A 13,050-nucleotide genomic window follows, 5' to 3' on the forward strand; every position below is an offset into this window, starting at 1 on the left:
GTCTTATGACAGTCTTCATTTTTAAAAAATTTTCTAGCAGTATCCTGAGAGACTGAGTTTAGCCATAAACTTCAGCAGAAGCCTTCTGTCTGATTTCATCAGAGTCAATAATTGATCAGTTATTTGAAAAAGGTGATTAAAAACTAGAAATCATAAAAAGGTAACATCTTCTAAATTTAATTTTTAACTCAAAGGATATAAGTACATTTGGCCAGGTGCAGTGGCTCACGCCTGTAATCCCAACACTTTGGGAGGCCGAGGCAGGCAGATCACTGAGGCCAGGAGTTCTAGACCAGCCTGGCCAACAAGGTGAAACCCTGTCTCTACTAAAAATAGAAAAATTAGCCGGGAGTGGAGGCATATGCTTGTAATCAGTAAGGCAGAGGCATGGGAATCGCTTGAACACATGAGGCAAGGTTGCAGTGAGCTAAGATCACACCACTGCACTCCAGCCTGAGCAACAGAGCCAGATTCTGTCTCAAAAGAAAAAAAAAAAAAGTACATTCATACACCAATCTTTGAAGAGAAAGGCTGTGGTCTTTTTTTGTGTAGAGGTTCATTTGTGGAGTTTGTGTGGCTATCCTGCATAAACCCCATCTGTTATGTATTACTTACACTTTCTTTGTAGAAGGGAGTGAGAATCTAAAGCCTTTTTCAAAACAAATGAATGTAAAATCCCTCTAAATTTTTACAGTTTTTCTCAATTTTTTACACTTGTCCACACCTAATTTGACAGCATTTCTTTTACTGAATCAACTTTATCTAATCTTTCTAAAGCTTTAACTTGCCCTAGAAACAGCTCTTCTGGTTACATTCATATTGTACTGGTTGATGTAATATTTAATTAAATTATGTAAGTACAGTAATCAATACACTGACACAGAATGTTTGAGTGTATACCTAGGTGAGTCTTGGTTTGTGTACTGCACAGCCTGTAGGAGCAGAAGTGTGTGGACCTCTGCAAGAATAGCCGTCTGGCTCTGAGCATTCTCCCTTCCATGAGCATCAGCAGTGATATTTTACAGAGGGCAAGAAAACATCAGTTAACACAAGTTGGTTAAATGTAGGCCAGTTAAGAGAGTTTGTACCCTGTCCAGTAAAAGAATCTGCTATTCCACAGACCAAAACATTTTAAACCAAATTTAAATAAAAGTTTTTAGACTAGGATTCAAATTAATTTCATTATATGCATAATATACTGAAGCTGAGAGCTCATCCGTCCTGAAAAGTACTTAGGAAGGGAAAGATAAATTTCCAGTATAGGCTATCACATTTTTATTCAGCTATAAAACTCCCCCAGGACAATCTATATTCCAACAATGAGCAGTAGCATGATAATCTGATGTGGTATCATACTGAAGGCAGAACTAGGGTTATGGGGTAGGATATTAGGAAGGCAGGTTTCAGGTCAGTATCCAGAAGAGCTTTCCAGTAACTAACAAGAGCTAGTCAGCAAAAAGCTGCCCCAGAAAATACTGGAGTGCTTCCCGCGGAGGCATCCAAGAACAGGTGGGATACCCACTGGCAGAAGAGCACCCACTTCCAGCAGGGTATTGCCCCAGATGAACCTTTAAGGTACTTTGGAACTCTAATGTCCTAGGGTTTTTATTTCTAAACTTTCTTGCTTCCCACATATATATTTTTTAGGTCTGCCTTAATGTTTTTTACTGCCTGGGCCTTTGGCCACTAATTTACATTGCTGTGCATTGCCTAAAAGCATCTGAAAAAGAAGTAACTAAAAAATGTCCATACCAGGCCACTCATCACATTTAAGAAGGTATGGATATGAAATATAGTCTGATGCTATTATTTCCTTAGTGCCTGTGATAATTGCTCAATAAAAACTTTATGTCTTTGGGCACTCTAAGGGAAGCAGTAAATATTTAATCTTGGCAACTGCAGCCTTCAGACCTTACCCACAAAATGCTGTTCTTTTCCTTGATTGGTGTACAGAGGAAATTCTGTGGTAGGAACTGCATCTTATTCTTAAAACAGAAGGTATAATGAAAAGAATACAATGAAAAATATATATATATTATAATCCATACAGGTATTCTCCACTTTAAGACAAGCAAACAAAATCAGGAAGTATAAAGCATATAGGTTGGGGTGGTTAGTTATATTATAAAGTAATTCTTCACTTTACTCAATAATTTATCATAGGATTTCTTTAAATATCAGTTTTCGCTAATACAGTTCGCTAATACATCTTATTCCCACATCATGAGCTATATCCTAGACTTCTGCATTTAGAAACCACCTTAGTGATTTTCCAGCTCAACTTTTTTATTTATAGGTAAAGACACTGAGGCCCAGAGAAACATCTGAAATGTCATTCTTAAGGTTATATAGCTAATGAATGGCAGAATTGGTCCAGGAACCCAACTCAGGATCTTCTCACTTCACCATTTCTAATTTTAGGGCTGAGGACAACAAGACATCAAATTCTTCTCAAAATTGGCTTTTCTCATTTTGTTTTTCATTATTAAGATAATACACATTAATCATAGAAAATTGGCAAATACAAAGGTAAATTTTTAAAAAGTCTCCTGCAGTATCACCATCCAATATCTGTCACCATGTTGACCTCTGGACTCTGAAAGGACATCCATATTCCCCTGTCTCAACAGAACCGTTTTCCATTTGACCTTCAGTGCACTGAAATCAGGCCCTCTGACTTTTCATCTAAGTGAGCCGTCAGTGAGCTTCTATATGGTAAACTCCTTAGTCTCATCCCAGAGTCGTCTTCTGAAACATTTGACAGTGGTTTTTCATCTTTTCCCCCGTCTTTGCCCTGTGATTGATTTCATGACATTACTGTTCCCTGCATCCTCCTGCATCTTGGACTAGTCTTTTCCTGTCTCATTCTCAGGTTCTTCTTCTCCTGTCCATTCCTTAAATAATAACATCCCAGGCAGTTACATGCTTAGCTGTCAAATTATTTATGTTATTCCCCTGGGATATTTCATCTGCTTTGGAGTCAACCATTACTTATATGACATTGCCTGCTAAGTAAATATCTTCTGCCCCCACCTCTGTTGTGAGTGTCATGCTCCTATTTCCAGCTGCCTATTGGACTTTTTCTTCCAGGGTGTCTTGTAAGCCTCTCTGGCTGACAGTTATTCAAACCTAAATTAATCACCATTTCCTCTCCTTGTGTCTATTTATTTATTTATTTATTTTTATTTTTGAGATGGAGTCTTGCTCTGTCACCCAGGCTGGAGTGCAGTGGCGTGATCTTGGCTCACTGCAACCTCTACCTCCCGAGTTCAAGTGATTCTCCTGCCTCAGCCTCCTGGGTAGCTGGGATTATAGGAGCATACCACCACGCCCGGCTAATTTTTGTATTTTTAGTAGAGACGGGATTTCACCATGTTGGTCAGGCTGATCTCGAACTCCTGACCTTGTGATCCACCTGCCTCGGCCTTCCAAAGTGCTGCAATTACAGGCATGAGCCACTGCACCCAACTCTGTCTATTTATTAATTGCTAGACATCGATACTAGAAATTCTGAAGTCATACTTTTTTTTGTCTCCCCATTCGTCATCCAAGCAGTCCATCATAATATCCTGCCAGTTCTACCTCCAGGGTGTCCTTCAAATCTCTCCCTGTTGCGGATGCTACTTCCCTGGGTCAGTCTTTCAGCATCACTTACCTGGATCATTGCAGTAGCCTCCTACCTTCTCTCCTCGCCTCTCTCATCAATTCCTGCTCCACACTGCTGCCAGAGTTAATGTTTTCAAAACATAGATATCGGTTTAAATCGTTCAGTCTTTCAACTGCTTACCACTGCTTTATAGCATGAAGTCCAAATGCATTAGCAGGGCAGCAATACCCTTTATCTTCTGTAATGTAAATGGATTGTTTAGCTTTCCGTCCTACACTCCTCATACCTACATCCAAGCCCATGCCCTGCTCATGGTTACCCCAAACAATTACGCTTTCCCAAGATGATGACTTTGCCACTACTAACTCTTCTGCCTACTGTGCCCTCCCCCTTGTAAGCCTTTCTTTTTTTTTTTTTTTTTTTTTTTTTTGAGACAGAGTCTTGCTCCATTGCGCAGGCTGGAGTGCAGTGGTGTGATCTTGGCTCATCACAACCTCCACCTTCTGAGTTCAAGTGATTCTTGTGCCTCTGCCTCCCTAGTAGCTAGGATTACAGGCCTGTGCCACCATGCCCACCTAATTTTTGTATTTTTAGTAGAGACAGGGTTTTGCCATGTTGACCAGCCTGGTCTTGAACTACTGACCTCAAGTGATCTGCCTGCCTTGTCCTTCCAAAGTTCTGGGATTACAGGCGTGAGCCACTGTGCCCGTCTTCTTGTTGGCCTTTCCTGAAATATCTCTCAAGCCTTTTTAAAAGTCTGCTTGACTGTCACCGAGTTGTCACACATTCCCCAAATCCCCAAGATGGAATTACAGGATTCTGCCTCTCTGCTCTCAACACGCCTTGCTTTTGTGGCTAACAGTCTCTGCGTCTTATTCTCTCTGCATCCACTGCAAAACAGCTCACTGCTGAGCACGGCGCCTGATGGATGGTAGACACTCGGTAACTGTTGAATAAATTGCCTCTCCACATTAGAAGCACATGTCCCTTTCATAACCCATCCCTCCCATTCCTAGCTACTTCTACAGAATAAAAATAATTTTTCATTTTTTTAAAGATTTAATAGGGGCACACTTAAGTGGGGAAATGTCTATTCACACTTCCGTGTAGGAAGTGCTGCTTCAGATTGCTTGAGTTAAATTAGAAGAGGTTAAATTAAAAGAAAAAAAGAACATCTCCCCACTGTCAAGGAACACAGAATACAACTCATCTTGGTAGTTCTGACAATTGAACTCAAATAGCATCCCTGTTCCCTTCCTAGAGAGGTACACTACAGGTTTTGTGCATGTACGCCTTTTTTTTTTTTTTTTTGAGACTGAGTCTCTCTCTGTCACCCAGGCTGGAGTGCAGTGGCACCATCTTGACTCACTGCAAGCTCTGCCTCCCAGGTTCACACCATTCTCCTGCCTCAGCCTCCCGAGTAGCTGGGACTACAGGCTCCCGCCACCATGCCCTGCTAATTTTGTTTTTGTATTTTTAGTAGAGACGGGGTTTCACCATGTTAGCCAGGATGGTCTCGATCTCCTGACCTCGTGATCCTCCCACCTCAGCCTCCCAAAGTGCTGGGATTACAGGAGTGAGCCACCGCGCTCGGCCGTGCATGTACACATTTTTTAAAGGCAGGAAGCCACATGTGACAATCAGTCAACTGTTATATTTGGCAGAGTCTGTTTTTTAAAATGTGTTTAGTTAACCTGTTAAATAAATTTAACATTGAAAGACTTATAAAAATTATTTCTGATTGGAAAAACAAGACTTTTGGTAGGAAAAAAATATTAAAGAAAGTAAGACCACAGTATTTATAATGCAAATATTGTAAAAGGCCATAAACCTCCTGAGGTCGTATTGTGTTTTTGTAATGAATCTATACCATATATGTAGGTAAGGCTGAGGAAAATACGTTCATTTGTTTAAAAAAAAAATATCTAGTCAAGTTTCTTCCCACATCCAGCGATGACAATGAGAAGGTATCATCTTTTTGGTATAAAAGCCAAACTGCTTTTTTAAGATTTTCTGCTTGCTATAGATAGTACCTAAAGTCATATCTGAGTTTCTGAAAAGAGATATCAGTGTTTTAATGAACTGACATATCAATCAAAGTGACAAACTAAAACTATACACACACACACACACACACACACACACACACACACACACACACACCATTGTATCTTCATTTATTTTTATTTTTTTGAGACAGGATCTCGCTCTGTTGCCCAGGCTGGAGTGTAGTGTACGATCATGGTTCACTGCAGCCTTGACCTGCTGGGCTTAAGTGATCCTCCCACCTCAGCCTCCTGAGTAGCTAGGATTACAGGCCCACGCCACCATGCACAGCTCGTTTTTAAAATTTTTTTGTAGGACGAGGTCTCACTATGTTGCCGAGGCTGGTCTCGTTTTATCTTCTTAATACTACAAGATATACTCACACTGTTGCATTAGAAATGCATTTTGGATCCTAGAACTTGCTATAAACTAAACCTGACGAGGAATGGTTTGTACATTTCCTTTTAAACGTTTCCATACACTTTGTGTGTCACTTTGGATGTGCTTTACTCATGCATTTATCCTCGCAGGCCCTCATGACGCCCGAGTGTCAGGAATGTTATGGGTTTGTGTTGTGTGTCATCTGCTTGTTCCCCCATCTCCATATGTGCTTCCTATTCTGACTCATCTCAGTGTACTATTCTCTCGTTTTTCTTTCTCTGCAGTACAGCTATCCCTTGGTATTTAAGGGGGCTTAGTTCCAGGGCCCCCACTGATACCAAAATCCACAGATGCTCAAGTCCCTGATACAACACGGCGTAGTATTTACATATAACGTATGCACATCCTCCTGTATACATTGAATCATCTCTAGATGACTCATAATACATAATACTATATAAATGACATGTAAATTGTTACACTATACTGTTGTTTTATTTGTATTATTTGTTTTTGTATGTTTTTTATTTTTTCAAATATTTTTGATCTGCAATTGATTGAATTCACAGATGTGAATCCCATGGATACAGAGGGCTGGGCCCACTGTACTTTATTTGGCTTCCAGGAGCCCCTTCATTCATCCATTTCTGCTCATTTTTCTTCCCCCTGCTTTTCCACTCTAGAGTAATATCCCCGACTTTTTCTTCTCCTCACCCTCTCACTGTCCCAGGCTCATTTTCTCCAATCTCTTGTAATGCCTTCACTAGATGTCAGCTCCACCAGGCAGCCTTCCCTGATAGCCTTGTCTACCCATCCCTCTGCAGTGAGGCCTAGGTGTGCGTGTGTGTCCTGGGAGTGAAGCCTCCAGTTCACTCCTTAAGACCTCTTTAAGAGCAAGAACTATGTGGAGAGATCCTCTTTTAAAGTGTTTTTATTTTTGTGCTTTTTTTTTTCTAAACTTCACTTTGACTGCTTTGGCATGTTTTACCATCTGAAGTTATCCACTTTCTGTTACCGAACACCAGGGGTTTGGTCTAGGTTCTGCAGCTCACTGCACAGAAAACCAATCACCGAGACCACAAGTATTTCCAAGGAAGAAGGCTTTAATTGGGTGCTACAGCCAAGGAGATGGTAGCTCAGTCTCAGATCCATCTCCCTGATGGACTAAAACTAGGGGTTTATGTAACAGGGAAGAAATGTAACAATGTGTAAGAAAACAGGAGCAAGGGAGGGACAGGGAAGCAATCGTGATGAATCAGGGGTCAGCATCTGGTTGTCAGGATGTGGTGATCTGGTGAGTTTCAGTTCTTTGATACTTTCTTTGAGAGGCCTGAAAGTCATTTCCTGAGAAAGGAACTCAGATAAAACAGATGTTAAGTTTCAAGCTTTAAGATCAGAAATGTCTGCCGGGCGAGGTGACTCACGCCTGTAATCCCAGCACTTTGGGAGGCCGAGGTGGGTGGATCACGAGGTCAGGAGATCAAGACCATCCTGGCTAACATGGTGAAACCCTGTCTCTACTAAAAATACAAAAAATTCGCCGGGCATGGTGGCAGGCGCCTGTAGTCCCAGCTATTCAGGAGGCTGAGGCAGGAGAATGGTGTGAACCCGGATCCACTGCACTCCAGCCTGGGCAACAGAGTGAGTCTGTCTCAAAAAACAAAAAACAAAAAACCACATTTCTCATTTTCCGAGTTCTTGTGTGAGAAAACTCGAAACAAGGCATATGAATTTCTAAGTTTTCCTTGACATCTCCTTGAAATATTACAGAATTCTTTCTCATTAAAACATTAATGCCTGTAGCATTTTTAAAATAAAAAAGGAAATAAAGTGTCCTGGGTAATTCTGCTGAAAGTAATTTACTGAACATCATCACACACACAGAGTTTTATCCATTGATCTCTTTTCAGGACTATAGGCAGCGTTTCTTTGGGGGTAACTATTTACTCATGTGTATTAGCAGTGTTACTCTTGGGTCATTGTAATAATTCTGACTGTTAGGAAAAGGTACAGAGAAGATTAGCTCATAAAAACCTTCAGAACACATTGTAAATGGAAAGGGAGAGCCCATTTAAAAAGCTCATGTCCACTTTGACCAACTACATGTTGTAGATTTTCTCACCCCAACAGTAATTCCTAAGATTAGACATGTATGGGGAAACACTAAAGATGGAAACGGCCCTACAAGCAAATGGCCCACACCCTCTTTAGGCTGATGAACCAAGAGAGAAGGAGCTCCCAGACAGGGCTTGGTATAGGTGGTGCCTTCAGCTCAAACCTACTCCTTCCTATTCAGAGCCAGGGGACATGATTGCACTATTTGTGGCCTTGTTGCTGAACCCCCAGCAGCAGAGATTATCTGCGGCCCTCTTCCCATTTATCTCAAAGATGAAAAAACACAGAGAATAAAGGGCAAAGCAGAACAAACCCATGCTATGTGAGATAAGAACCTGAGCTCCAAAGAAGGGTTTTGGGGAAAGTAGTAGACATAGGCCACTTGGAACCGACATTAGTTTTCTCTTCCGGGAAGTGAGGATGCTGTATTTACCAGCACCTTCTATCTCATATAGTTACCCTCTGGATCACATGAAAAGGCCTCTGTAAAAGTTCCTACAGAAAAAAACATAGAAAATGTCCAAAACCGAACTTTCTTGTTGTTACCGGCCACACCTCTAGAATAAAATATGAAAAACTTGATCTTTTTATGCAAATGTGAAGCCAGCCTCTTCATGCAAATTGAAAACTTAATCTGAAAATACTGAAGGAGGAGTAATATATTTTTTAGAAGTCTGTGGCATGAGATATGTAGTACAGCTAATCTTACTCAAAATATCTTTAAGAAAAAGAGTATTCATTTTTTAGTGCTTGCCACTTTCTATAGCTATTGATTTGACCTTTTAAAATTAGTTTCCAATATAGAAACCCTCCACCCCTGGCAGCAATGAACTAAACTCATGTAGGAGTTTCTTTAAGAAATTACATTATCACATATTTACTGACCAGAGTTTTATCCCAATAGAAAAATGCTCTAGGAAGTTAATTACTTAAAGACTAGGAAGATAGGGAAATTGTAGCTTTTCCCAGAATGACCTTTGTGGACTAGTTTTTAGAAAATAATTTGCATTTCTTTCCAAACAGGGTAAGTCAAGATGAGGGCTTGACTAACCCTCAGTTTCAGCTGTATAAACATTGAACTTTCAAATGTCTTAGAAAATAAGACCAAAACTTATAACAACCAGTGTAAAAAATAATTATAGTTACATTATTGATTATTTCCCTTATGGGAAATAATCTCTTTCTCCAAAAAGGCAAAGATTGTTTTATTTCTTAGTTTGTATGATGTGAGTGTAACAAACATTTTAGTAAACAAAACAATGTTTACCATATATGTATTTGTCTATATATATGTGTGTGTGTTTAAAATGCATAAAATTATATTTAAATATATTTCAAATTTTAAATTTATATATATTTATAATTTTGACATGCTTTGGACTCGAGAAGCCTATAGTTTCTAATTACCTGTGAGTATAATCTTCATTGAGGCCTTATTACAAAGTATTCCGTTTTGTAATAAACACCATGACATACTTACAACTTTGTACATGAGGGAAAAAAATCTGAGGCTTCTTTTAGCACAAACCATAGAATAAACCCGATTACCAAAACCCTGTTGCTTTTTTGATTTGTATTTCTCACTATTATTTATTAATAGCTAGCTACATTTTTGGACCAGCTGAATAAAATAATTGAGCGGAACTGGTAGTAGTAACAGGCTGACAATTTATTCACCATGTTGAGGGAGAGATTCTAAAATTTTCTATAGGGCTCATAATTGATTTAATAACAATTTAAAATACGTACTCTTAGTTTTCCTAAGTAATTCCATGTCTAAGAGCTTGGAGGCCCTTCTAACGAAGATCCGTTCCGTTAAGAGTACGCAAAGTGAATTTCAGTCCTCTGCACACTTGAAGCAAGCTAGACCAGATGAGGGAAGTGGCAGGTTTTACCCAATTTCACACACAAGGAAATGATTTAAAACCACTTCGTAAACTGCTGCATAGAAATCAGCATTTGAGTTTTTCCTGGACGCTTGTTCTAGGTTTGCATTTGTCATCAGCTATTAATGCTGACTTACAGTCCAAGCTGAAATCTGTCAAAGACAAAATAATCAGAGAATTGGCCAGAATCAACTGGATGAGGGATCTTTATATTCTCACTGATGCTCTGTGTTCTGAGAGGAGTATATATTTCAGAGGTTTGTTTGCTGCTTTGCTTGCTTTTAATGCCAGAAGAGGAAAGAGAAAGGGCAGTAGCTTTTCGGATAGAATTTTATGAGTTTATATTTTAGAAACACGTTTACTATTTAATATATTAATAAAATTTCCATTGTCAACTAGGCCCTGCAAAAATAAACATATAGGAAGCTATTGTAAAAATAATTTATTTAATTTCCTTGCTAATATAATTATCTACTAACTTCAAAACAAAGGTAAGTGTAAGTATGTGTGGACATTAAACTCTTATCCTCATCAGTAAATGTCTTCCTTTTGACCTTAGAGTTTGAGTCCCAAGAATCTGGAAATAGTAGAGTTCTAGTGGCAATATTTCATTAGAATTAATCTAAGTAATTATTATGACAGTAGTCAGCTTCTTATTTGATGTGGCATTAAATAAAAACAGTTAATACATTCAAACTGGATCATAGGCAGTAATTTGAACTCCATAGTATACAGGAGAGAAGGGATGTGACTACTTTCCAAGTCTAGTCACAAAATAGTGATCATTTTTTAAAAGCACAGACTTGTTCAAAGATTTCGTATCTGATTGAATTCAATCAATTTCATTATTATCTGAAAGTGGGTGGATTTTGTTCTTATTGTTTGTATTCTTTCATATCGCCTTGTTCGTGTTTTATCACACAGAGGGTTAAGCTGAATCTGTTAGAATATGTTTTCCTCTAGGACACAGTTGAGCTGGGACTAGAACCCAGATTTGAAATTCTACCCTGAGGCTTAGCTGGCACTCATTATGTCATTCAGTCATATATTTGCAACAATTTAAGTAGTTAGATTTTTCAGTGATGAAAGGTTATTTAATAGGCTGCAGGTTACGACAGTATTTTCCTAGTTATCTTCTGTGCAGTCTTCAGAAAAGATTGGGAGCATGGTTGATTCCAATAACTACCTAAGGGTTAAATATTATGTGTGGGCTCAGACCCGTGGTCAAGTATTTGGGAAAATTTTTATTGATTTAAGTAGGTGTTATAGCTCAGTAACAAATGGCCCTATGTTTGGCAAGAAAAGGAGATATGGAAACTCTACTCACAGCCAAATCTGCAAGAATAAAATAATTGGTTCACGTAAAAGGAAATGGTTTTGACAGATTTACACTCTTGGGGTATGTTAGAATTCCACCAAAACTAAGGATTCAAGTGCATTTTTATCTCAAAGTGGAAGAATCTGACACTGAAAGTGGAAAGCATTTTCTATAAAGCAAATGCTATTGACACGGTCACTCTTTCCCCCATTGCATTCTCTACTTGTTGTCTTAGGTAGTTCTGATGTGTCCTATTGTCACTCTACTTTCTCTACTCCATTTAGATTTAGATGTAGATGTAGATCAACCCAAAGAAGAAAAGAAAGAATGCTACTATAATCTCAATGACGCCAGTCTCTGTGATAATGTGTTGGCCCCCAATGTCACGAAACAAGAATGCTGCTGTACATCAGGCGTGGGATGGGGAGATAACTGCGAAATCTTCCCCTGCCCGGTCTTGGGAACTGGTAAGAATCCGCTTAGTGGTAGAGTCACACTTGTGTTTGGTCACATGGTGTCCCTGGGCCTTGAAATGATAACACTCATTCCCACAGCCAACTCAAGGCGACTTACCTTATAGTGAGTTTCATTCAGGGCTAGAGCCAGCACCTGCATCCCATCTTAATATGAATCCTTGAACTTCTCTTCATCATCGTGTACTTTGACAGTCAGGTTCTTTGTGATATTTTGGCAGAAAGTTAATTCAGTTTTATTCCACTTTAAAATTAAAATCAGTCTTTGTTGCTGACAATGATACAGCATTATTCGTAACTAAAGCTTGTGTATTGAAGCTATGATTTCGTGTAATTGATTCTTACTAAACCTTTAAGATACTATACATCACAGTAGTGGAAAAATAATAGTTATAATTTCAAGTAAAGCATGAGTAAGAAAATATTAGTGAACTTGGAGGTTTTTTAAATTAAAAAGTGTAAGAAAACCTATGAAGTCATTAGATTTCTTTGCACTTAATCCATCATTTTTTGAGATTGTACTAAATTTATTTGCTGGAATTGCCTTAAAGTTACTGAGTCTGAGAAAGCAAAACTGAATTTGAAACATGCATTCATGGAAGATGTTGAATCTTTTTTTTTTTTTTGTCTCTTCTAAAATCAGCTGAGTTCACTGAAATGTGTCCCAAAGGGAAAGGTTTTGTGCCTGCTGGAGAATCATCTTCTGAAGCTGGTGGTGAGAACTATAAAGGTCAGAATCAAGTGGAAACAAATTTTCAGCACATTGTGTACATGTCAGATATTCAAGTGAAAACATGGCTTGGGTTTCACAGAATTAGAGTTCTTTTTAGTCATGAAAACTGATTACAAAGTCCTTAATTCTACCATTAAAAGAAAGTCCCCATGGACTTGCAGTCAGAACACAAACTGTATGATGCTCGGAGTTTGACATTGGGAGGTGAACTTCTGAGTTTCTGTCTCTTCATCCCTGAGATAGGAATAATTTCTCAAAGGTTATAATGATTAAGATATATATCTGAAAGTACTTAACAAATTCTGTACCTAGTAGATACTTACTAAATATTTTATTCTAGATGCTTAATAGAAATCATATCAATTATGATCATATAAATTTGACCACTGTTTGTCTTTATGGTCATCAACAAAGCTAAGGTTCTTGTATTTTTAGACTTTATCCTACTGTTGTGGGGCCTTTTACCAGTGTGCACAAGTTCATAATGAGAA

The 13,050-nt window shown here is 38.7% G+C and overlaps 1 protein-coding gene across 65 annotated transcripts in view; it reads left to right on the plus strand.

The window, feature by feature from the left end:
* The window catches only part of LTBP1 (latent transforming growth factor beta binding protein 1), a 452,557-nt gene that overhangs the window by 402,007 nt on the left and 37,500 nt on the right, over nt 1–13,050 (plus strand). For all 65 annotated transcript variants that reach the window (XM_011532853.3, XM_011532857.3, XM_011532861.3 and 62 more), the window contains 2 exons: nt 11,638–11,820; nt 12,470–12,556. In XM_011532853.3, the coding sequence (XP_011531155.1) occupies nt 11,638–11,820; nt 12,470–12,556 (270 nt within the window). The remainder of the gene's footprint in view (nt 1–11,637; nt 11,821–12,469; nt 12,557–13,050) is intronic.

The sequence above is a fragment of the Homo sapiens genome, chromosome 2 (assembly GCF_000001405.40).
Source record: "Homo sapiens chromosome 2, GRCh38.p14 Primary Assembly".
Lineage (NCBI taxonomy): Eukaryota > Metazoa > Chordata > Mammalia > Primates > Hominidae > Homo > Homo sapiens.